This window comes from Homo sapiens, chromosome 1 (genome assembly GCF_000001405.40).
Source record: "Homo sapiens chromosome 1, GRCh38.p14 Primary Assembly".
NCBI classification, from domain to species: Eukaryota; Metazoa; Chordata; class Mammalia; order Primates; family Hominidae; genus Homo; species Homo sapiens.
The window spans coordinates 243,958,186-243,984,636 of NC_000001.11; the positions used below are offsets into that span (position 1 = coordinate 243,958,186).

The 26,451-nt window shown below is 40.9% G+C and overlaps 2 long non-coding RNA genes across 2 annotated transcripts in view; one reads left to right on the forward strand and one right to left on the reverse strand.

Annotated features, from left to right (window-relative positions):
• Positions 1 to 26,451, forward strand: part of LINC02774 (long intergenic non-protein coding RNA 2774) — a 129,916-nt gene that overhangs the window by 40,784 nt on the left and 62,681 nt on the right. Inside the window, exon 2 of the long non-coding RNA NR_033883.1 lies at positions 20,225 to 20,334. This is a non-coding gene — a long non-coding RNA (long intergenic non-protein coding RNA 2774). The remainder of the gene's footprint in view (positions 1 to 20,224; positions 20,335 to 26,451) is intronic.
• On the reverse strand, positions 1,932 to 21,329 carry LOC105373258 (uncharacterized). Its single transcript, XR_949337.2, has 3 exons — positions 21,119 to 21,329; positions 7,957 to 8,085; positions 1,932 to 2,130 (listed from the first exon to the last, which is right to left on the reverse strand). It is a non-coding gene; the product is annotated as an uncharacterized LOC105373258 (long non-coding RNA).

Here is a 26,451-nt window from a genome sequence, read left to right on the forward strand (position 1 = left end):
ATACAAAATTAGCCAGGCGTGGTGGCAGGTGCCTGTAATCCCAGCTATTCGGGAGGCTGAGGCAGGAGAATCACTTGAACCCGGGAGGCGGAGGTTGCAGTGAGCTGAGATCGCACCACTGCATGCCAGCCTGGGCAACAAGAGTGAAACTCCATCTCAAAAAAAATAAAAAGAAAAATAAAAAAAAAAAGGAAAAAGAAAGAATAAGTGACCCTATAAAGGAAGAGTATGATTGAGTGGAAGGTGCTGGACTCATACAAGACTACTGGCACATGCTGAGACAGTTGCCACATGGGCCTGGCACCTCAGCATACGGACCTTTGTTTGGGAAGATAAGATATCACCGGGATTTTTTAGCCAAAGACCTTGATAAATTCATTCGTTTTAGAGGAACTTGGGGATTCACTGTGGAAACAGTGTTTTCTTTTTTTTTTTTTTTTTTTTTCAGAGTCTTACTCTGTCACCCAGGCTGGAGTGCAATGGCCCGATCTCAGGTCACTGCAACCTCTGCCTCCTGGGTTCAAGCTATTCTCCTGCCTCAGCCTCCCCAGTAACTGGGATTACAGGCAGTGCCACCATGCCTGGCTAATTTTTGTATTTTTAGTAGAGACAGGGTTTCTCCATTTTGGTCAGGCTGGTCTCAAACTCCTGACCTCAGGTGATCCACCCGCCTCGGTCTCCCAAAGTGTTGGGATTACAGGCATGAGCCAGCGCCTGTCTGAAACTTAGTGTTTTCTGTGTGGATTTGGAAAACCTAATGAAGTTGTTGAGATAATTTCTTCACTGTGTGTCATCACATACATAGACCGCGTGCAAATCTTTGGACATGATTGTAAGCTGACTTATTATCCATTGTCAAGAATGTTATCATTAACACTTTCAAGCATTAGTGTATGGATGCAACTTTCACTATTGGAAAGAGCCAAGTTAAATGATCCAGGGTGGGCAAATAGGAGGTAGCCTCGTGTCCTCTGGACCCCGCATTCCTGGTAAGCCATTGCTTTTCAAATGGCAAACGCCGGGCTCAGCCTCCACATCTGCAAATGATTTGAGAAGAAAGAATTTGGGTTAAAATTCAGAGATGAATGTTAGGATGCCTTAAAAAGACTTCCCTGAATGAGAAAGGAAAAGAAAAAAACGCTATTTTTTGGTGTGTGGTGACGGAGAATATTAGGGTTGTGAGTATGAAAGTACCTTTTTTTTTCAACTGTAAAGCTGGAAGAGCATATGAATAAGAATGGCTTGTGCTGGCAGCAGCAGAGTTGACATTTGGGAGAGGAGAGAGAAGCTAGCTTCAAGCCGGAGGACCAGATTTTGAGCTTGCTTAGTTCTACCAGGAAACAGCAAGGGCAGGAGGTCTGGCCCTACCACCCGTGTGCACCCTTGGTTAATACTCTCTAGAGCAGAACCCAGAAAATGGGAGTCTGTAACATAAACATTAATCCACATGTATAACTCCGTCAATTAAAAGACCAATAAACAGGCAGCTTAATAGGACATTATGCCATAGATGACTCTAATCAGCTCAACATATTGATTTCTGAGCATTCTCAATTTGTTTATCAGAACCAAGTGTATTCTTTTTTAATTACTTTGCCAACTTATCCCTATGTTGCATGGCTTTTGCGATATATAGTCTTACACGGTAGGAAATGCCCTACCACACTTAATATTGGGCTGGTTTAATAAGATCGGAATAACATTGACCAACTTCATGTTGTCAGATATAAAGTTGGGGTTGCAAAGAGATGGATAGATAGACACAAAATCTTTGAAAGGGGGATTTTGCCTGGATTCAATCAAAATACAAATCAAAAAATTGTAAAATAGAATCTACCAGCTAAAACTAATGAGCACAAAACTGCATTGATTTGGCCCAGGGTGGACAAATAGAACATCTGGCATATTTGGCACCAATGACACAGCTGGCATTGTTGGAAACGTTTCTGCAGAAGGTGCAGATGCAGAAATGGGAGAATTGGTACAAACAGTGCAGATGGAACAGTTGGAACAGATGACAGTGGGCAGAGCTGGCGATGCTGGCACAGGTGTCACAACCTCAACAGCTGGCACAAGTTGTGACAATCCTGGGATTTCTTAGTACAAGGCACATGTTCATTTTGGCTTTGGCTGCAGAGAGATAAGAGCATTTTATAATTAGTAAATGTGCCATTTAAAAAAGAACTTTTTTCCCCTCCATCCTTAAGGACATCCACCTCCAACTGTTAAAGCTTGGAATATGGAGCATTTTTGCAAATTAGAATTTCCCCGAGAAAGCCATAATTGATAAATACAGATTTCATAGAAGAGGCAATTAGATATTTTTGTTATGATATAGATAAAATTCATGAATGGGACTTCTTCATAGGAGTTTTGTGAAAAATAAAGGTCAGATTTTTGGAAATGAAAGTACACTTTGCATTTAAACCAAAATTTATTTGTTATCAACTTAGAGGGTTATTTGTTTCTGAAATATCATGAGTATTCCCCAATTATATAAAACTTTCTGTAGAATCACACTTGAAGATGTGGTACAAAATTGGAAACCTGTCTACAGAACAGGTTGGGAAAAGAGAAAAAATGCTGGAATACAAAATATGGAGAAATCATGATATTGCCACTTTCAAATACCAATGGGACTTGGCTCTAATTTCCTCTAAAATGCTGTAAGTTGGGCTTGAATAAAAATACAATATAGTATAATCTTTTGGGCAATGACATTTAATATCAGATGTAAAGTTGAAAGAACAAAGCAACTTTTTTGTTAGTGGCTAGAAATTATTATTCTAATATTTTTATTGTCACTAAAGTCTAGTCATGTCACAGGAAGGCTAAAAGCGATTACCTTGTTAAAAATAATAAAAACTAAACAAGGGGGATTAAATATTGGGTTCTTAAATCTAGAAGCACATGCTCTTGAACATGGTAGGTACCCCACAAATTCTTGTTGAAAAAATGAACCTATGGTCTATGAAATATCAATATTCAGAATTTTAAAAAAATCACCCTCACTAATAATAACTAAACTTCTCTTAGGAAGAAACAAAACAAATCAGGCCTCAGTCTTCCTTAAAGTCTTAAATTTTATACATATATTTTAGCTAGCTTCTTTCCCCCAAGGGAAATTATAAATGAGAAAAACTGGTTGGATGTCACCTACTCTATGTCCCCAAGGAAATTCATAATTATTTAGATTTTCCAGTTAATATTGAACTAAATCAGCACCATAAATCAGCTTCTATTCATGATCATTGCAGCACAGTGAATGTTTTAGATGTATTTGGAGACTTTTGGGGAACCACTACATTAAGGGTTAATTAATTCTCCCTGGTGTCCAGTTCTTGACCATTAGCAACATGCTGTCTTTATTTCCAGTTGGCCCTGCATATATTACCTTATTTAATTAAAAAACCCAATAAGTTAAAGGCATTTAAACATATCTGATTGTAGTTTCTCCATTACTTCTACTTTGTTATAACCTCATGTTGAACCCAACAAAACTATTCTTGTTATTCAGAACTTCAGTTCTATCACTTAACTTTACTTCATTTCTTGACTGAGCTGACAGAAATGTTTCTGCTTAAAACAGATACATTAATTTGTTAATTGTACTTTTGTGACATAGATCAACTAGGAGATGGAGGAGGTGGTGAGAGGGCTTCCTGTTCCCTCAGGGCACAAAGATGATGAGAGATAAATCAGTTCAGAGGAAGAGGCTGGACATGTCCACCCTGTACATCTTCCTTGGTCTGAAACACTACTCTGTGGCTGAATCTCAAATGAACGTTTCTCCTCATCAATAAGTACTTTATGGAAGATGACCAATCCAAGGCAGCAAATAAGGATATTTCTAGGCCTTGATGTTTGAGGGGTCAGCAAAAGTTTTTCTGAAGATTGAGGATGAGGGTGGGTCATTCCCTTGAGCGCCTGCTGTCTTCAGGAATTAAATGAAAATTAAGCATGAAACATGCAATCTGTTGGAGCAATTTGATTCCCCTATACTTGTCCCAGCCACTGTCTATTTCTAAGCACATTGAACTTCCCAATGTATTGGTGTCTCATCTTGTGTAAATATCCTTTTCCTTCTCTTAGCTCCAAGACATCAGGATGTGCTTTTCTTCCACCCTTCGAATGGTTGCTCTGCATTACACCTCTCTGCTATCCCTGGAGGGCTTTTGAGTACTATGTGAGCTGGGATTTATGGCAACGGGATGTGAACGGGGGCACCTTCATATGGGGCAGCTTGTCTTTTCTGCCCATGGTAAACTGGAATACATTTTTTTTCCTAGGCTTAAAAAATAACTGTGTTGGAGAGGTGGTAAAGTAAAGCCTATTTACCTAAAATAAAACCATCTACAAAAGCAAAACAAAATTAAAGGGAAATTTATATATTAATTTTAAGACCTCATCTTCTTCCGCTTTCTCTGCATTCTCCTGATGCACCAGCTACAGACCCCTAGCAAGACCCCCGCCCCAGCTCTTTTTTGAATGAAAAGCATCAATTCATGGATCAGACATAGCCCCTAGGCATGTTAGCAATGAGCCTGTTTGTGCTAAGGCACTGTTTTCCCTCCCTTGCCCCACCAGGAGGGCTGTGGGATGGTTATGAAGACACAATGATGTAGCTGTAAAGCAACTCATTCTTGTGAGTCTGCTGGAAGTGGGAAAAGAGGAAAAGAGAGATAGGTAAGAATTCGGTGTTTTTTGTTTTGTTTTTAATGAAAACCAGAGTAGTCCTGTATGGAGATTATTGGGCTATTGTTTCACTACAGTTTAAAATTGAACTTACTGAAGATTCATGATTTAGAACTTGCAGGCAAATCAAGATTTAAGCTGCCATCTATTCCCCTAAACTACTGTGCTGATATCTATCACCGTGTTATGTAAATAAACAATTAAATGGAGTGTAGATTCATTTACTCATTTAAAAATGTTTCAGTGTGAAAAAATGTAAAACATACTAAAGAAGTAGATAGTAGACAGACTCAGGTACCCATCACGTAGGTTTAACCATTACTAACATTTTGCTAACTTTGTCTCATCTTTCTCCCTGCCATCCACACACATATTTTCTCCCCACTTTCCTGGAGTGTTTTAAAGTAAATTTGAAATGTCATTTTACCCTGAAATACTTCAATGTTCATTTTTAATAGGCAAGGGCAATTAAAAACACACAACAACCCAGAATAATATTTCTTCAACATCATCTAATTCCTAGTCTAGCCTCAGAGTCCTCTGTTTGTCTCAGTGGTACATTTGTACAGTTTGTTTGTTCAAATCAGGACCCAAACGAGGTTCTGATAATGGCTCTATGGTTTATTTTCTCTCTTTTTTTCATTGTTACTGATTAGTTAGATAAACCAGGTCATTTGTCCATAGAGTGCCTTGCATTCTGAGTTTGGCCCGTTGTTGGCTTGTAAAGACATTTAACCTGGTCTTTCATCTCCTGTATTTCCTGTGAATTGGTATTTAGATCTCTAGGCTTGTTGGGATTCAAGTTCAATTTTTTAGGCAAGAATACTTCATAGCTGGTGCTGTGTATTTCCTATTGCAACACATTACGGGGCAAATAATACCTAGTCATCCCATGTTTAGTGGTGCTAAGATTGCTCAATGCGTTCAGCTGGTATATATTTTTGATGCTTAAGACTGTATTCATCTGTTTTCAAGCTTCTTTTCACATATGGATATTGCTAATTTTATCTCAATCTCTTTGTATAATCACCAGGGAGTCCTTCAATTGTTAACAAATATTCTTTGATATTCATTTTATTAGCAAACTTCCGATGGGCAATACCAACTTTCCATACACACACACATATATCTGGAATTTTTTCATAGCACATTTTACATGTATTTTTCTTGCCTATATGTCATTGGAGGTTAAAACTAAATTATAACACACTTTGTGCATCTATATGCATGGCCATTTGCAGGTTAACCAATGAATACTAGGTTAGATCAATACATGATCAGTTAACAATTGCAGTAATCAGAGTAAATATTTGTAGTCTGGGTAATTTTAGTCATATTTGCAACCAAAGTTCATCAACTGTTCATTGATATGTAACCAGTCTAAAAATGGTTGATCCAGTTGTTGCAGGAATCCTAGTGGCTAAATGAACTTAACTATACTGCTGTATCATTCATTGCTTGGCAGTTCAACTATGACTATCAAATGTTTGGTAATTTCAATATAGTCAGTATTGCATGACTTGCTTTTTACTTCACATCATTGGTAATAAGTATGTGGTCATAAATAGACTACATGGGCCAGGCGCGGTGGCTCACGCCTGTAATCCTAGCACTTTGGGAGGCCGAGGTGGGTGAATTACCTGAGGTCAGGAGTTCGAGACCAGCCTGGCCAACATGGTGAAACCTCATCTCTACTAGAAATACAAAAATTAGTGAGTCATGGTGGTGGGCACCTGTAATCCCAGCTACTCAGGAGGCTGAGGCACAAGAATCACTTGAATCTGGGAGGTGGAGGTTGCAGTGAGCCAAGATTGTGCCACTGCTCTCCAGCCTGGGCGACAGAGTGAGAATCCATCTCAAAAAAAAAAAAAAAAAGAAAGAAAAAGAAAAAAGAAAAGAAAAGAAGTAGAATACATGGGAATATAGCAAACTACTTAGAAGCAGTTAAATGATAGGATAATTCCAAAATATAAACATTCATAATTGAAATCCTATGAAAAATGCATACTAAGTTTGATTGTTCCAAATAGATTGTTACTGAATAAATAGAATCAGAATTATATGCAATGAAGTATTAAATAGACATTTTGAATATTTTAAATATTTTTAATTCTTATTTGTTCCCTTGTCTGAAAATGGAAGTGTTAATATCATTGGTTTAGGATTAATAAATACAGAATTGAATGTTTTTCCAGTGGTGAGTAATAGTAACCATAAACACTCTCAGTAACAATAAAACATTTCAAGTTGTTGTGAAATCTTCTTCTTTTTTTTTTTTTTTAAAGAGGCAGCATGTCACCCATGCTGAATGTGGTGGCACGATCATAGCTCACTGCAACCTCAAACTCCTGGGCTCACGTTATCCTCCTACCTCAGCCTTCCAAGTAGCTGGGATTAGGGGCCACCATGCCTAGCTTTTTTTTTTTTTTTAATTTTCTGGAGAGACAGGATCTCACTATGTTGCCCAGGCTGGTCTTGAACTCCTGGGCTCAAGTCATCCTCCTGCCTGGGCCTCCTAAATTGCTGGCATTATAGGCATGAACCATCAAGCCTGGCCATTTTTTGAGAAATCTTTTTTTTTTTTTTTTTTGAGACAAAGTCTTGCTCTGTTGCCCAGGCTGGAGTGCAATGGCGTCATCTCGGCTCAGTGCAACCTCTGCCTCCTAGGCTCAAGCAATTCTCCTGCCTCAGCCTCCTGAGTAGCTGGTATTACAAGCACACACCACCACACCCAGCTAACTTCTGTATTTTTTGTAGAGACAGGGTTTTGCCATGTTGGCCAGGCTGGTCTCGAATTCCTGAGCTCAGGAGATCAGCCCTCCTGAACCTCTTAAAGTGCTGGGATTACAGGCTTGAGCCACCGTGCTCGGCCTTTTTGTGAAATCTTGATTAGGAAAAATGTCTTATTTCTGTATGAAGTTTGAGGTTTCACTTCCATCAATTCAATTGATCATTATTATAATCCAGTGGGAGAGGATATTTGAGTAGATTTAACAGATGAGAAAGCTGAGATAGGAAGAGAGCAGATATCTTATGTCCAAGAAAGGATAAAGCCAGTAAGCACAGTCAATGCTCAATCTAATTTGGACTTACCTCATTTTGTTCTTGAGAAAATGTTTAGTTTCGTTTCACCTACAGATGTTCTGAAGCCTGGGTCTGTCCAAGGCGTTGTGGAAACTTCCAGTTTGAGCACACTCACTTGCTTCAGGGTTCCAGGAAAGTTTGGTGTCAAAAGTTTTCTACAATCTGTTTTCAGCTTACCTGATAGAGAACATTTGGTTGTCTTCATAATTCTTGTCTCTCTCGGGCATCTCTTGTCTATAACCCTTTTCTTCCTTTTTTATACTCACAGGAAAGCTGGATTTTTATGTAGTTTCCTACTTCATTTTCCTTATTTTATAAGAAGGGAAGAAAGTTGGAGAGAGGTAAGGTACAAGACTTTTTTAAAATATTCAATAGATCCTGTAATGTGATTTTCTCCCCCCAAAATATGAAAAAGTTTTCCCTGGCAACCAATCCTTTTAGTTCGTTTCTCTCTCCTTCCTGATGTTTGTACAATCTATGTTGGGAAGGATTTCTTTATTAAGCTCCATAAGTTTCCAACATGACTTCTGCCAGAGACCTGATTTTAAAAAACATATTGCCTTTTTTGTTCTTCTGCTTCCATATTAAAAATACATTTAATTAGAAAGCATTATAATTAAATACATATTTAAATGGAGATACATATTATGTTTCTTATGATGTTTTTCTAATCTTTTGATAAGACTGTAACCATTAAAATTGGGAAATAATATTTTCTTATTGGTTAGTGTCCCACTTTTAGATCTTTTCACTGGATATGGAGAAAGTATGTGTTGCTTTTGAGACAATTGCTAAAGTGAATAGCAAAAGATCAAGAACTTGAAAGTACTGAGCCCAAAGAAGAAACAGTAAAAGGACATCTCTTCAAAGCCCTATGATTTGTAATAATTCTGAAACAGATCTTGCCAGTCATCTTATTTACTTTAAAAAACAAAGTGGATTATACTTAAATTATAACAAAAAATCAGAGAGATATAACACGACACCTTAAGAATAATTGTTTATTGTTTTGTTGTTCTTGTTGTTGTTTTGAGACAGAGTTTCACTCTTGTCACCCAGGCTGGAGTGCAATGGCATGAACTTGGCTCATTGCAACCTCTGCCTCCCGGGTTCAAGTGATTCTCCTGCCTGAGACTCCTGAGTAGCTGGGATTACAGGCGCGCACCACCACACCTGGCTGATTTTTGTATTTCTAGTAGAGACGGGGTTTCACCATGTTGGCCAGGCTGGTCTCGAACTCCTGGCTTCAGGTGATCCGCCCGCCTTGGCCTCCCAAAATGCTGGGATAACAAGGTGTGAGCCACTGTCCCTGGCCTAAGAGTAATTGTTTAAATAGCAGAGCATGATTTTAAGAAACTCTTGGAATCTTTAAGAACAACAAAAAACAATCATTGGTCTTTGATTACTGGGAATCTGGGAGATGGGCTGGAGGTTTACTAGAAAAGCAGGTCTGCATTTTCCCCTCCCTGAATCTAGGAGTTTCTTTGCTTCTCAGAGTCCCCTGTTTGGGTCCACTCCCTCAGTAGGGTTGAAATCTTTTTAGCATCTGACTCTGAATTTGGGTCATTTCTTCTTTCCTCTTCCTTCTCTCAACCTCCATCTTCACAATGACAGACTGCATTCCGTAATTGCTGTCTTTTGTAATTGTTCTATCTCCAAATTGGCTGATTAGGGTAGAGACACAGCTGTCCATCAAAATGGTGTAAAGTGGCTGAAACAGTCATCCCCTGGGCCGGAGAAAGTTAATTGCACTTTCTGAGGCTATCCCAGTAGGAGAGGAGCTGAGAAGGGCCCCGGGAATCCCTGTTAGTGCTATTTTTTTCCTGAGCATGTCCATTTCTAACGTGAAAAAAAAATGTAGTAAACAGCATGTTAATTAGATTTGCAGATGAAATTAAATCAGGAAGTATTGGAAACACACCAGTGAATAAAGAGAAATGCTACACAGGGTTTCTGAGGTTAAAAATATAGAAAGGATCAAACGAAATGAGAATTAAGTCAGACAGGTGTAACCTCAATGATTTAGAGAGGGGAAAAGCTGTAAAGGTAACCAGCGAGAGGGAAAAATCCAGAACACAGTAATGCCAGAGGGACCAGGGACTGGACAACAAATTAGACGAGTTTGCAATATGCCACAGAAGCTAATGTGATTTGGGGCTGTATGTGTAGAGACATCACGTCATGAGGGAAAGGTGGAGTAATTTAGTGCATTTGGCAAAGACACACCTGGAATATTGTGTTCAGATCTGCGTATCCTGAAAGCAGACAGACGTAGAAGAACTAGAGGGAAATCAGCATAAAGCAACAAAAGTGATTAACACGATGGGCTGATTTATGAGAAAAATGGACAGTGTGATTGGGCCTAAAAGTAACAGGAATGGAGCATTGAAATGGAAGAGGGTTTTCCTGATCTTTTTTCTAGGAGACTCAAGAATTATTGAAGTGTAATTAGCGTGAAAGTATATACTGTAGTTTACAAGGGAGAACTAAAATTTGCAAGGAGGGAAACTGGCTATGAGATTATTAAAGTGTCTTTTTAGGGGAGTGAAAGAAGGGCCATGGCTAAAAAACAAATGAGTTTACATTGTTCTCATACTTTTCATTCCAAAGCCGTTAGATTTACCCTGACCACGACCCTTCAACACTGAAGAATTAAGTGGAACTGCTCATCTGTCAGGACCCCAGAAAGCTTCCTGGATGCTTGTTCCTCTGCAAAGTTCCTCTCAGAAGGAGCCATTTTAAAATTTGGTTTTAGTAACGCTCCCCAGACAAATGCTGGTGTCAGATGGCTTCGCTTTTCCTCCTTTTTAGTACTTGGATGTCTGCAAAGGCAGTGACCAAAAGCAACAACTGATCTGCCAATATTAGCTCTATGTGTGGCTGAAGGCTGTCATTTAATCTGAGGATTGGCTTCTGATGGCAAAGGGAAGATAAATCTAATTTTTAAGGATCTCAAAATGATAGCTGGAGGAGCAGCATTTTGCACTAGCTAATGAGGCTAATTTGTTCTTAAAATACAAGTTGCTGTGCCTCTTAAATTAAAATTCACTTCTGATGTAAATACAGAAGATATAAATACAGAGAAGAGATATATGCTGTAATTTTTATTTTGCAATTTGGAGCCTGTTCTAAGAGGAGCTGTTAGGAAAGTGATTTTTTTTTCTCTAAATTTGAGGAGATCTTCACTTCCAGGCTTCAAATACGCAGAAGGACAATGATTAGCATTAATTTTATAAGAAAGAAAACAAAGTAAGATGTTTTCTTCCTGGCTAGAGATTACAAAATGCATTGTGCTAGAGATTATTTCCTAAATCATTGTGATTCTCCACTTTCTCATCTGGAAAATGAATTGTGGGGGAGTGAATTGCTTTCAAAGTAATTAAGTAGTCCATTGACAAATGCTTTATTAACATTTAGATATTTAATTAAATCTGCCGGGGAGAAAGTTCGTATTCCTAAGTCAAGGGGTTTCTCTTTTTCCTCTCTTCACTGTGGTGGGGACAGTGAAGATTCTTGTGTGGTCTTCCTTTTCATTTTGAATGTTACACAGAGCAGAGCAGGATCTTAAGATAAATTAAAGCAAATAATGAAAGATCTTGAAAACTAAATGGCATTCATCTTCTAAGTACTATTTGATCAGCTATTTAAAATAAGAGTTTGCACCACAATCTAGAAGAAATAGATACTCTCTTAATGGGGCAATGACATTTAATGCCTACATTAACAAATTATACAGAATGAAGCATTTAATATCTAGTTTATCTAAGGGATTTATGCCACCCTCTTACTCTAGGTTTTGCTTCTTAACACTGGACTCTGATTTTTTAGCGCATAACAGAGAAATTAGCTACCCCAGTCTTATCTCAATTTAAGTTCAGGTCATGGAACAAGGAACAAACTACGTTATTTATCTAAAAGAATTAATGAATTGTGTCTGGAATTTTGAATGGGTCTGTAACAGATAAACTTTTCTCTTTCCGATACCCAGAATTCACATTAAAGCAATTAAAACTGTTACTCAAAGGAACTGAATTTGCTGTTCACTGACCAATCTTTGTCATCTTTAACACACCAGATGAGAGCCACCACAGCTTTAAAAATAGGAGCACAGGGACTAAAGATGTATTTTTTCCCCTTTCCATCTAGATTGGCAAAGTTTCTTTAAAACTTGCTTCCTTCCTCTGCTTTTTCTTCTTTAATTTAGCATTGTTGAAAAATTCTGGTGTAGGCAATTATTGTTAAAGTTGGAGGAAGTGTCTGCCATATGAAAGGAAGGAAGGATCTTCGTGGGGAGCCCAGCCTGCGGTGTGAGTTGCTAATATGTTAGACATGTTTTCATCATCAAATGCAACCTCCTTACCATGGTCCCCAAGGCCCTGTGTGATGTGACAGCTGTCCACATCTCCAATCCTGTGCTGTACCCCTGCCCTCCTTCTCTGGCTTGAATATTATAGTCTTCTCTGCCTTAGGAACTTTGTACTTGCTGTTGATTCTACCTGGAATGTGTCCCCCCAATTTTTTTTTTTTTTTTGAGACAGAGTCTCACTCTGTTGCCCAGGCTAGAGTGCAGTGGTGCGATTTCAGCTCACTGCAGCCTCCGCATCCTGGGTTCAAATGATTCTCCTGCCTCAGCCTCCCGAGTAGCTGGGATTACAGGCATGCACCACGACAACTGGCTCATTTTTGTATTTTTAGTAGAGATCAAGTTTCACCATGTTAGTCGGGCTGGTCTCGAACTCCTGACCTCAGGTGATCCACCCACCTGCCTCCCAAAGTGCTGGGATTGCAGGCACGAGGCACCGCGCCCGGCCCTCCCCTGACTTTTAAGTGCTGGCTCTCTCTTCCCTTTAGGCCTCAACTTAAATGTCACTGCTTCAAAAAGGACTTTCCCACGTGCTTACTCTCGCCCTGGTGCTGCCACCTTTTTCTCTGTCAGATCCCCCTGTTCAGCCTCCTCCAGCTTTCTGCTCTGCCTCCTGCTCGTCCTTTGTTCCCCCACAGCACTCAACACAAATGATCCTGCTTGTTTGGTCCTCTTCTGTGTATTGGCCATTTCTTCCCTTAGAATGCACGTTCCACCAGAGCAGAGGACTTGTCTGCTTTGTTCTTTGCATTTTTTGCCGTGCTGAAAACAACGCGTGGCCCCCCAAATGTGGGCCAGTCATCCTTAAATGTTGAACATGATTTTAAGAAAACATCTCATTGCACATTTCCAAACATGTCAACTTGTAAAAATGGAGGAGAAAAGAGACAGGACAAATCATTGTCTTGGAATACATTCAGGCATGTTTCTTAACTACAGCCACATTAAGCTACAAGGATAGAATAAACATTGCCCACTTCAGCAAACTTGTCTGAATATATACATGGATGCCAGACTATTACCAGCAGAAAGACAGCCAGTCAACAGGTAGGGTTCTTGTCAACGCAAAGGAAGTTGAAAGACTAACAAAAGGATACAGGCTGGAAGGTCCTTGAGACCAAGAACTTTCAGTGATTCTTTTGGAGGCTCTAAGACAATCGTAGGACACAGAACACATCCACGGCCTAGGATATGGGGGTAAGATGGAATGGAGCATTGTCAAGAGAGATGCCAGGGAAAGGCCAATGAGAAGGATGTGACGTAGGTTCTATTCTCAGTCAGAGGCATTATCAGCACAAGGCCTTGAAAACTGCCTTCTTGCCTTTCCCACATAACAGAAGCCTGAAAGGAGGGATAAATCCATGGATACAAAGGAGAGAACCTGGGCCTGTTTTTTTTGTTTTCTTTCTTTCTTTTCTTTCTTTGTTGTTTCTTTCTTTCTTTTTCCTTTTTTTTTTTAGACGGAGTCTCCCTCTGTCGCCCAGGCTGGAGTGCAGTGGCGCGATCTCGGCTCACTGTAAGCTCTGCCTCCCAGGTTCACGCCATTCTCCTGCCTCAGCCTCCCGAGTAGCTGGGACTACAGGCGCCTGCCACCATGCCCAGCTAATTTTTTGTATTTTTAGTAGAGATGGGGTTTCACCACGTTAGCCAGGATGGTCTTGATCTCCTGACCTGTTGATCCACCCACCTCAGCCTCCCAAAGTGCTGGGATTACAGGCTCGCTCGCTCTTTCTTCTTTCTTTCTTTCTTTCTTTCTTTCTTTCTTTCTTTCTTTCTTTCTTTCTTTCTTTCTTTCTTTCTTTCTCTTTCTTTCTTTTTTCTTTCTTTCTTTCTTTCTTTCTTTCTTTCTTTCTTTCTTTCTTTCCTTTCTTTCTTTTCTTTCTTTCTTTCTTTGTCTTTCTTTCTTCCTTTCTTTCTTTCTTTTCTTTCTTTCTTTCTGTCTGTCTGTCTTCCTTTCTTTCTTTTAGACAGAGTCTCACTCTTATTGCCCAAGCTGGAGTGCAGAGGCACAATCTCGGCTCACTGCAACCGCTGCCTCCTGAGTTCAAGCAATTCTCCTGCCTCAGCCGCCCGAGTAGCTGGGATTACAGGCACCCGCTACCACACCTGGCTAATTTTTTGTATTTTTAGTAGGGATGAGGTTTCACCATGTTGGTCAGGTTGGTCTTGAACTCCTGACCTCAGGTGATCCACCCGCCTTGGTCTCCCAAAGTGCTGGGATTACAGGCGTGAGCCACGATGCCCAGCCCCTAGGCCTGTATCAATGGCATATTGAACAGAAAACAAAAACTGAATCTCCCAAGCCCAGTAAGTCTAAGTGCTCGTAAGGAGTCCTGTCAACCATGTCATGGATCTAGAAGAAGCGGAGAAATCTCTCAAGGGTCACTGGCTCAAGGGCAAGGGGAAAATGTGCCTATAAGGCAGCAATGGCTAACAGGTCCTTTCCAAGGGTCAGCTAGCATCTTAGCGCTGCACGTAGCTTAACTCGAGCAATCCCACCACGACCTTGTGAAATATGTACTGTTATGATTCCCACCCTCACAGATGAGGAAACTGAGACACAGAAAGGGGGAGCAACTGGGCCAAGGTTCATCAGGTAGTAAGTGGCAGAGCTCACATTTGGACCTGGACAGGCTGCTTCTAGAGCCTGTCGAGACAGAACTTTCATGTTCTTGACTCTGAAAGCTTAGTTTTAAAAGGAATGCTGTTTTAATTTTTTTGTAGCCCTCTTGGGTATATCCTGTTATCTCTGGAAGCAGGAAAACCAGAGTCTAATATTAGGGAATAATTTAAGGCTAATCATGCCTTAAAATGCCTGAGAACATGATAGAAAGAGTATGTAGGGACCCAGCTATACCTCAGCTGCCTCCCCGGGGGTTTGGTGGAAAGGAGGCTTGCTTCTTTCTGTGAACACTGCAGCATTATGTGTAGGGCAGCGTGGAATGCATTTGTGACATCCTGAACAGGTCCACTGGGCTTTTTATTTTGCTGTACTGCAAGTGATGCTTCATTTCAGCCCCTGTCTCACAGGTCCTGCATTCACCAGGAGAGGCAGCAGAGCAGGGAAGAAAGGGTGGAGATGTGGAAGGAGGCAGTCCTGGATTGAAATCCTGGCTCGGCCACTGATTAGCTGCATGAACATTGGCAAATTGTTTCACCTCTCCATACCTCCATTTTCTAATCTACCAGATAATGTTAGCAAGATTCACCTTCTAGAGCTAGCGTGGGCATGATGAATGAAATAAGACTGGTGGAAATGTGTAGCCCATGGAAGGCATTCAACAAATGCCAGCTCTCTCTCCCCCCTACCAGGCCAAATCCTCACTTGTGTTTGCGATTATGTTTAAGATCAAGTTTAGGAACTTGCATGGTGTCTGACTGTTTTTCAGCAGAGGCTAAGGAACATGCCAGATTAGTTTACTAATTTGCAGTTGCATGATAGAAATGGAGGGCATGGAGCACAATTTGAATTCTAAGTCCCTGCCATGCACACCAGTTTCATTACTGAAGGTACAGACCCAGGTTTAGTGATATAGACATGCAATGAGGGGTGATGGGGAACAATGCTTACCCTGATGGCAACAAGAGAGTTAAGGCAATTAAACTAGATTTTACCCCTCCAGAGTCCAACACTTGTTTCTCCAAGTACAGTGAGTTTCAGAGATAGCACATAATGTACCAATAATGAAAATAACTCTGTGAACAGCACGGAAGTAAGTTGGGGCTACTTCCACCCACACAGAGATGAATTTTGTGTGCAGAAGCCCAGTGGAATACAAATGAACTGCTGTATATGAGAAATAAGGAACAAAAAGCTGAGACTCTGGGATATACCTCAAGAAGAAACCTGCAGACTTTTTCTTACCATCCTCTCCCCAGAGTAAAAGCATGGAAATAAGGATTTCCTCCTTGCAGGGGTATGGCTGGTTATCATAAATGCCATGCACAGCAAGTGAAAACTTGTGTGTGGAGATTCCTAATATCGAGAGCCTCTGATTCTCATCGCAAACTCTCTAGATGCTCTTCTGAGTGCCCTTATTCAGGGCACAAGTCACTGGCAGCAGGTGTCTGTTCATTTTGATAAATGTCAGCTTCTTAACACTCGCTTTGGAGAGGGAAGGAGGACAGACACTGACCCTGCCCTGGCGGAACTGAGGGCATGCTGGAAGGCAAGCAGCTTCTACGCATCAGAGCCACGTGGGCTAGAGTTGGCCCCAGCCTCCTCACCCCTTGTCAGTGTAGGGACAACTCAGCACTGGCAGACATGCTCCAGATGTCCTGCCATCATCTGGCTGATGTAGACTCTGGGGAGCCCCCAGCCTCCTGTGATATACAGAGACAGGAAGCCTCAGGCTTCCAAGTGGTACCCTAGGGGTTTCTGAAGTGCACTAATGCACTAATTGAGTATCACTGTTTTGCCGTCTTTCCTGCGGCTCCCATCCCTGCCCACTCCTCTTCTCCTAGTTGTTTGCTGTCTGAAGGCTCACTTAATCAAATATCCCACTCAGTCAATTGAATGAATGTTGAACCACACAACGTGCCAAGGCGCTGTCCAAGGTATCAGAGTTCATTACTGCAAATTGCTGTTTACTACCAGAGGGTATGCTCTGTTTTTGCTTCTGTGAAATCTCCTCCTTACAAATGTGAAGCATAATGAAGAATAAAGAATAAAGTGGGGCCAGGTGCAGTGGCTCATGCTTGTACTTCCAGCACTTTTGGAAGCCGAGGCTGGTGGATGGCTTGAGCCCAGGAGTTCCAGACCAGCCTGGGCAACATAGCAAGATCCCATTGCTACAAAAGAAAAAAACACTAAAAAATTAGCTGGGTGTGGTAGGATGCGCCTGTAATCTCAGCTACAGAGGAGGCTGAGGCAGGAGGATAGCTTGAACCCAGGAACTTTAGGCTGCAGTGAGCCACGATCATGCCACTGTACTCTGGCCTGGGTGACAGGGCAAAACTCTACCTCAAAAAAGAAAAAAAAAAAGTGGTTAATTGGTATTAATTGAGAATTTTGAGATAAAATGCAGTAAGATGAGATTTTATGATTTTCCATGAAGCTGCCTTCCCCCTATCTATTGAAACCTTTAAGAGAAGCATCAAATTGAGGTGTGTTTTATGAAAATTCTCTTTAATCAATAATTATGAATGTATGCTCTGCTGTGCTACAGTACTGTTAGAAGTCTTGAGAGAGACTTAAAAGGTTGAGATATGGTTTAAGCTTTCAGGAAGTTTCTCTCAATGAGTTAGAAAGATTTAATGTATACATGTGAAACAATCCAGGCAATATTCAGTTAAGTGGTACATTTTTTAAGGGAAAAAATTATATAAGTGCTTTATTTTTAAACTCTTTAGACTTAAACATGGCCTTGGTTAAAATAAAACCATACTTTTTTTCTAATTTTTTTTGGTTGGAGTAAATATGCATATAAAATTTACCATAAACTTTACCATTTTTAAGAGTGCATTTCTGTGATGTAAGTGGTAAATTTTGTTGTGCAGATTAGCACAGATGGAGAAATTGGAAAAGGTGGAAGATCAGAGAAGTCTAATGCTCTCCTAGGAGCTATGACTTGAGCTTTTATTCAGAGAGGGCGGTTAGGAATAAATGGATAGCGGGGCAAATGGAGGTATGTTTACGACACACCAAGATTTACCTGAATGTCCACATCTAGGATTGAAATATATGTAAAATATTTGCTTATATCTTTTGTGGCTGCTTGAATGGGAAATAATAAGCTATGAAACAAGAATTCTGATAGATGTGGAAATTTAGAAAAAAAATGTCTTATTTTAAACAAATTAAGAACTTGAGGGTCATTTTGCAATCTGGTTACAGCTTTTGTTTTAATATATGGTATTAAAAAAAATCCCCAGTGGCTGTCTCAAGGAATAGCTCATTAAATATTGCTGTTCAACAAAACTGGTTTCAATCTTTTTATTTTTCTATATAATAAATGGTCCACTTCTATAAAGGTGACAGTTGCTGTATCATCTATTTGCAATGGGAATGGCTACTGGAAACTTTAGATTTTTTTCACAATGAAGTTATCTTTCTAGCAGCAATGATGGCCTGCTGAAGGCTATGCTATGACACATCAAAAGGTTTACAGATTTCATCCTCAGGGAAATGCAAAGCAAAACAAAACAGAACGAAAATAAGAATGAATTCCACGGTCACACTGGGAAATTCTGATCAGAGTTTATTATGAAGAGAACTAGGGTGAAGCACAAAGAACAGGGAATCGGAAGACCTGGACTGTGGTCCAGATTCCGGCGCTAAATCACCTTGGCAAAGTAACTCAAGCGGGCCTCAGTCTCCTTGTGTAAACCAGCCACGTGGGCAACACACCTTCCTTGCCACTACATGTTGGGCGAACTTACATAAAACGGAGATAATGCCTGCCTTTCCTAATTTGGAAAGCGTCCAAATTAGGAGTGTCAAATGGGGAGTGTCAAAATGGATCATGGTGTAATAACAAGATGGAAAATGTCATTATTAATACAGAAGCCATCCCAGAATAAATGACATACGGAAACCAACAAACAGCATGTTAGGAGTTTTCTGCAGGCACATTTGGACCACAGAGGTAAAGACAGGACTCCTACTAATTCTGGGCATAATTTAAAAACTGCCACCCATGTGACTTTGGGCTTTTTTTTTTATTTTCTAGATAAGCTTGTTTACATATATGTTCAACCATGACTCCCTCATTATCTTTCTCCATGCAAGGGCCCTCAGGTGGCATTTGCATTGAGTGGAGTGATTTTTGTTTTCTAAGAGGGAAATTTTACAAACTGTGCTTCACTTTTCTTTCAGCTTGAGCTGTTTTCTCCTGGGAAAACAGCTTTTTGCTTGGCAAAAATGGATGTGAGGCATTGGCGAAAACGAAAGGCCGTTTTCATTGCAAAGAAAACTGCCTTTTGCTTTTGCCAAAAAAAGCAAAACATATGAGACAAAACCACAAATATTTCCCTGTTTGCAAACCCTGTGAAAACGTGATTTTTCACCAGTGGTGAGAATATTTTCTCACATTACTCTTTCCATTTCTAGAAATTATGGTTTCAATGGTGAAAGTCGTAAGTTACACCTGCAACACCTCATGACTAGAATCAAATATCATGAATATTGTTGTTAAACATGTTGAACTTATTTTCCATCAAAGGTAACATTGAAGGAGATGGAGCCTTTGCTTTAAGATTAGGGTCTCGACAAAGTAGAATGAGAAAAGTGTTGAACCACCGGGGACCACTGACACTGAGCAACGAGGCTCAGAAAGGTGTTTGGGGTTCAACTGGGATTTAGTATAGAGGGTGTAGCTGAAGGAATAGACTAAGTCCAGCAGTGAAAGAGCATAAAAGGGTGGTAATAACACAGTACAGCAGAGAGAACATTGAAATAAATTTTTATACGAGGTGTGGTCTCCCACCCCAAGTGCATAGTCAACTGGCTGTGCAACCTTTGCCAAATCAGCTCCACCTCCTGGGGTCTCAGGTGCCACCTGTGAAAGTGCTAGGATTCAATGAAATGACCATTCGGATTCCTTTCCAATCTAAAGATGTCCAATAAGGAGATGGGAAGTGCATTTGCAAAATATAGAAATTGTGAATATCAAGGGATCTCCACTAATCGACTCCCTTGATTCTGAAATAGCCCGTTAAAGTCAGAAGCTACTTTGGTGTCTAATGATTTATATGAAGGTATTCACATAACAAATTTAATTTCGTTGTGTTTGTGACTGCTCTTAATACCAATATGCTCTTCCTCATGCCTATGCTAAGCCCTTCTTACTAGAATTAAGCTAATTTCTTCTAATCTTCCCCAGGGAAGTAGTGAGCGTCCATTCACCATTTTTATATTATTAAGATATTTAAAATATTAATATAGATGTGAGTCACTGCAAGAAATAAATTTGCTCAGGGAAGTGGCGTGTAAGTAAAATTGTGATACGTGGAATGATATCTTGAAAAAGATTTACTTTTTAAAGCAATTCTATAATGACTTTTTTATCAAGTAAGAAATCACTTTATCAAAATAAAGAGATTCCCCAGATGAATTTATTTTATAAAAATTTATTTTTACAGATATTGTCAAGAACCCTCTGCTCTACAGTTCTTTGCTGTTCTTGACCCACCTCCTTCAAACTCGGATTTTCCGTTTCTCTCTTCTCCTAAGAGCTGCCTGCTGCCTTCTGGTAAGTGACAACCATGAGGCAGACACTGGACTAGGCACATTCATTCTTACTCTATTTATCAGTTGTTTATTGACTGCTGACAACATGCTAGACACAGTCAGGCACTTGAAATATGTTTTCTCATTTATCCCTATAGCCAGTCCTAGGAAGGAATCATTATTATCCTTGTGTAATCAACACTTTTTTTTTTTGAGACAGGGTCTTGTTCAGTTGCCCAGGCAATGCTGCCATCATGGCTCACTGCAGCCTCCACCTACTGGGCTCAAGCAATCCTTCTGCCTTAGCCTCCCCAGTAACTCGGACTGTAAGCATGCACTACCACGCCTGGCTAATTTTTAAATTTTTTTGTAGAGATGGGGTCTCACTATGTTGCCCAAGCTGATCTCAAACTCCTGGCCTCAAGTGATTCTCCCGCTTTGGCCTCCCAAAGTGCTGGCATTACAGGCCACCATGCCCAGCCTCCAAGGCGGTCTTCTACACAGCTTGAGCTGCTGATACAGTCTGCTACTTATTGGGTACTATGCTCACTATCTGAAAAAAAGGGAAAAAAAATCTTCTACTCTGTCCCCAGGGGCTGTGCTTGAACTGAGTCCCCTCCCCACATCAAGCCGATCTGTTTGTCTGCAAGGCTCTAACCCTCTTGGTAGGGTGTTGACAGGAATGTCTGGGATGGGGTGGTGCTTGGGAGAATCTGGACGTAACTTTCTGCTGCAAAGGGACAATGCATGTTGTGAAGAGGCTGTGCTGGGAATCATTTAAAGTGCAAAGCAGGTGAAGCCCGTACCTCCTGTAGCAGTCGCTCATCCCAAGCAGCTTCTGCTGTACAGTGCGGGTAAGTGTTCAGGAGTGAACTGCCCCGCTTTGTTACATTTCATGGAAGGACTGTGGCCTCCATGCCAGAGCTCTTCGAACAAAAACACTTTCAATCCCCTCATTCTCATTTTGTGGGGATTCCCAGCTGAACGGGCCTGGCTTTTTGGGAGAAGTTTCCAGCCCGTAGCTGCCTTGGCCAGGAGTGTGGGGGGTGGGACGGAAGGTACCCACGAGGGTGGCGGGTGGGGCCATCGGCCAGGAGTGTGGGGGGGTGGGACGGAAGGTACCCAGGAGGGTGGCGGGAGGGGCCATCGGCCAGGAGTGGGGGGGTGGTGGGACGGAAGGTACCCACGAGGGTGGCGTGTGGGGCCATCGGCCAGGAGTGGGGGGGATGGGACGGAAGGTACCCACGAGGGTGGCGGGTGGGGCAGATGCTAGGCATTCCGGATAAGGCAGATGACAGGCAGGCAATGAGCATGCTTTCCACGGAGCTTGCTTTCTAGTGGTGAGAATCAGACAAACTAACAAAAAACAGAGAAACAAGCGAGAAAGATACCAGTTAGCAAGAAGAAATCCAAGGATGGCTTAGTTGCTTATCAGCCCCATTAAACACAGAGATAATAGTTTGAGCCAGGCGTGGTAGGTTGCTCCTGTAACCCCAGCTACTCATGAGGCTGAGACAGGAGGATTGCTTGAACCGAGGTCAGCCTGGGCAACATAGAGAGACCTCGTCTCTAAAAAAAAAACCCCAAAAAGTTTGCAATGCTCCATTTACTACCTGGATATAAAATTTATAGAAAATATATCTCCAAATATAATGCACTTTAAATATAAAGTGTACTTATAAATATAATATTATATGTAAATATATAGCAAATAAAAATATTTTAAATTTATGTACTGATATAAAATATATTTTATTTATATACTATATATTTCATTTATATATAGTATATGAATTTGTTAAGACTATAAAGAGCATAAATAAAAGGAAAATAATTTATCAAAAAACAAATATGTATTATAATATGTGAAAAATGCTTGGGCACACCTACATCAGATGTTGCTGTTTCTCTGGTGGTTATCCCCAGCTTTATTTAGATTTCCACTTACATTTCTTTTTCCCTATCAATGCTTAAAGTGTATAAAAATTTTTATCTTTCCCCTGAATGAGAAGAAACTCTTAATATGTACCATTGTTAGTCTATCTCCTCCAAAACTCATATTGAAATTTAATCCTTAATGTGGCAGTATTGAGAGGTGGGGCTGCTAAGAGGTGATCAGATCCTGAGGTTTCTGGCTCCATGAATGGATTAATGGTTAATGGATTAATGGGTTATCACTGGTGTGGAACTGGTGGCTTCTTAAGAGGAAGAGAGACCTGAGCTAACATGGTAGCTCACTAGGCCCCCTTGCCACGTAATGCTCTGCACTGCCTCAAGACTCTATAAAGAGTTCCCACTAGCAAGAAGGGTCTCGCCAGATGCGCTCCCTCTAACCTTGGACTTCTCAGCCTCCAGAAGGGTAGGAAATAAATTCCTTTTCTTTATAAATTACCCAGTTTCAGGTACTCTGTTAAAAACAACAGAAAACAGACTAAGACGGTATGATTTTTGGTCTCATCTTCCTTCACCCTCTTTCCTGGCACGTTACTATTCTCTGGAGCTCTAAGACTGGTCTGCTATAGATATTTTTGTTGGGTGGGGAGGTGGAAGGGAGAATCATTCCTCATGCTTTTTTGTTTTTTGGTACTGTGGCAAAATCAAATTTGCAGTAATTTCATCTGTTTTTTGTTTTTGTTTTAAGAGACAGGATCTTGCTCTGTCAACTAGACTGGAGTGCAGTGGCGTGATCGTAGCTCATTGTAGCCTTGAACTCCTGAGCTCAAGTGATCCTCCCGCCTCAGCCTCCCAAGTTGCTGGGATTATAGGTGTGAATCACTGCACCCAGCTTATTTCTGTTTTTAAATTGACTTTCCTAATATTTATTTTATCTGTTTATTTAAAAATTATTTTCAAAGTATACAGCTCAGTGGTTTTTAATATATTCACGAGGTTGTGAAACCATCACCACTATCTAATTCCAGAACATTTTCACCACGCTGCAAAAGAAACCCCACACCTATTAGTAGTTACTACCCACCTACTCCCGTTGGTCCCTGACAATCACTAATCTATGAATTAGTTTGTCTCTATGAATTTGCCTGTTCTGGACATTTCATATAAATGGAGTCATATACTATGTGGCCTTTCGTGACTAGTTCCTTACACTTAGCATAGTATTTTCAAGATCGCCTCATGTTGTATCATGTAACAGTACTTTACTTCTTTTTAGTTCCTAATATCTTGTTGCTTCTTTCTGGATTAGTTTCCCTTCTTGAAGTGTATCCCCCAAGAATTCTTTCAAAGGGGCATGAAACTGTGGCATAAATTTCCCTTAGACTCAGTATGATTAAAAACATCTTCATTTTGCACTCACATTTAAGTAAAAGATGGGCTGAATGTAAATGTTTAGGTTCAAAGTTCCTTATCTTCACTATTTTGAAGATGTTCTTCCACTGCCGTCAAGAATTCTCATAGCAATCCGATTCTTGCTCCTTTTAAGGTGACTGTTTCTTCCCTCTGTCAGCCTTTACAATTTTCTCTTTAGGACTGATATTCTTACGTTTCACTGTGTAGTATCTAATTTTGTTTTTCCCCACCCTTTTCGATCTTGTTTAACACTGGGTGAGACCTTTTCCTCTGAAGCGTTCAACCTTTCTCTAATTCCGAAAATTATTTCTTCAAGGATTTTTCTCCCTGTTCACTTTTCTTCTTTCCTTTGAGGACTCCGATTGTGCAGAGAGTGACAGCTTTACTTCTGTTTTCCATACTGCTTAGCTTTTCTCACATTCTTTCCTTTCCTGATGCTTTCTTTGGGAGTTCTCTGACTTGATATTCCAGCTCACTACATCTTTCTGCATCTGTATCCATTCTGATATTTAATCTACCAGCAAATCTTTTACTTGGAAAATTATACATTTCTGTGTACACTATTTCTAATAGCTTTATCTTCATAGTCACTTGTGCCTCTCGCAGGTATCCAATGTCCTCCCATTTATGTTGGAGGCTATTAATTGTGCTCGTTTAAAATTCTTATTCTGTCTTTCCCATTACTTTTGCTTCCTCTGGAGCAGGGTTTTGCTGTTTTTCTCGGTGAACTCATCTTTTATTGTGTTGGGACTCTCAACGGCATTGGCTCCAGTGTTTGCCTTTAGTGGGAGACGGTAGAAAGCCTTGCTTGTGCTTTTCAGGCTCCTTTCGGTTTGGGGAGTGGGGCTCCCTCTACAGTTGAACAGACCCTCATTGCATACTTGTTCCACTACTTTCTATTTTCCCTACTTTCTGCATCATCCACCCCTGCAGGGAACTACCCAGGACTTCTGTCTCAGGAAAGGTGGTTGTAGGTGGTGGCAGGGAGAAGATGCTCAGACTCCTGCCAGCCTGCCTGTGTCTCTGCCATGTTTCCTATTCCAGCAGGTGCTGATGTTGCCCTCATGTTACCTCTCCAGCCCCACTTGCCCTAGGCTCTGGGCTAGTGTTCCTGTACAAGGGGATCTCCCCAGGCAGATACAACGGAGGGAAACGGGAACAATAGGAGAGAAGGAGTCCAGTGGCTCTGACTGCCTTCCACTCTAGACCACACTGTACCATGTTAGTTGCTGAGTTTGGCTCTGCGGTCCTCCAGACTCAGCCTCCCACCTCTTCTGGAGTGTCTCCAGGTTAGGGTCACTGGAGGGAGTCAGCATCCCATGCTACCTCGCTATTTTCCAGTCCTGATATATTATCATTTATCTTTCCAAACATGAAAGAAATAGTCATCTGACTTAAACCAAAGCTCTTCCAACATTTGATTGGTAGGGCCTTCAGAGTAAACTGTGAAAGCCATGGTATCTTAAGTGTACTTGGATAGCTTTTAGATATAAAAAGAGACAGTTTCAAAACACAATCAATGGTCTGATTAATATTTCATCTTATCAGAAGCCAAGACACTGAGCCCAACTAGTAAGTCTGCTTTCAGTCAGATAGGATTCAGTTGCTTGGTGTTTGACCTTCAACTTCCAAATATAGAAAATGGAAAAGTGCTTATGAGGACATCCGTACAATTGTCAACCCTGATTTCAAAGGCAACCCATTAATATAACTATTGGAGAGGGTGTTTTTTGGTGGAGGAGAAAAAATTTAAATCATTTCTTCATTCAAATAATATTTACTGAGCATCTGTACTGTGCCAGAACCTATGCTAATATCTTCATAAGATGTTCTTTTATGTGAGGGATACTCAGAATTGTAAAGTATAAACTGATCACGTGTTTCATGATAATGACCATACAGTGTGAAGAAAGAGTCTCGTTGTTTCTTGTTCTATTAAAACTCTAGTCCCAAATAGAATTTAGACTATGTTATCCATGAAACTGTAGTTTGGTAGTACTTCATGGTTCTAGAAACACTGTATTGGAGGGAGAACTATTTCTTTTTCTTTTTTTTTTTTTTGAGACAGAGTCTTCCTCTGTTGCCCAGGCTGGAGTGCGGTGGTGCCATTTCAGCTCACTGCAACCTCCACCTCCCGGGTTCAAACGATTCTCCTGCCTCAGCCTCCTGAGTAGCTGGGATTACAGGCGTGCGCCACCACACGCGGCTAATTTTTGTATTTTTAGCAGAGACAGGGTTTCATTATGTTGGTCAGGCTTGTCTCGAACTCCTGACCTCGTGATCTGCCCGCCTCGGCCTCCCAAAGTGCTGAGATTACAGGCGTGAGCCACTGTGCCCATACAGGGATAGCTAGGCTATCCCCTTCAGACTTTGGTATAGAAGAAGGTGCCATCCGGCCTGCAGGTACAGGGAGCTGAGAGAAGAGAATTAGCAGAAGACACTCCTGGGCAAATCCCTGGGGTAGGTTCTATGGCCTAGTTGCAGCACAATACATTATCTGGAGTGCTGGTTAACATGCAGATTCTGGAACCCTTCCAAGAGATACCAAACTAATGTCTCTGGGGTCAGGGACCCAGACATCTGAAAAGTTCAGGGCCTTGGCTATGTGTGGGCCTTTCCCGTGCACCTAGGTTGAGCTAGGTAGGAGCTGCCCATGTGAGGAAAAAAAGAAAGGAGGGGGCCCAAGGGATGGGTAACATTGGAGGAGCACAGCAGCCATGATAGATCATGAGAGCATATTCAGAAGACAGCCAGGATCCTAAGTCCTGAGAAGTAAGATTATGCATCAAGAGAAACGCATGAGGTGATCCAATCATTGCCAGGGTGGGTTATA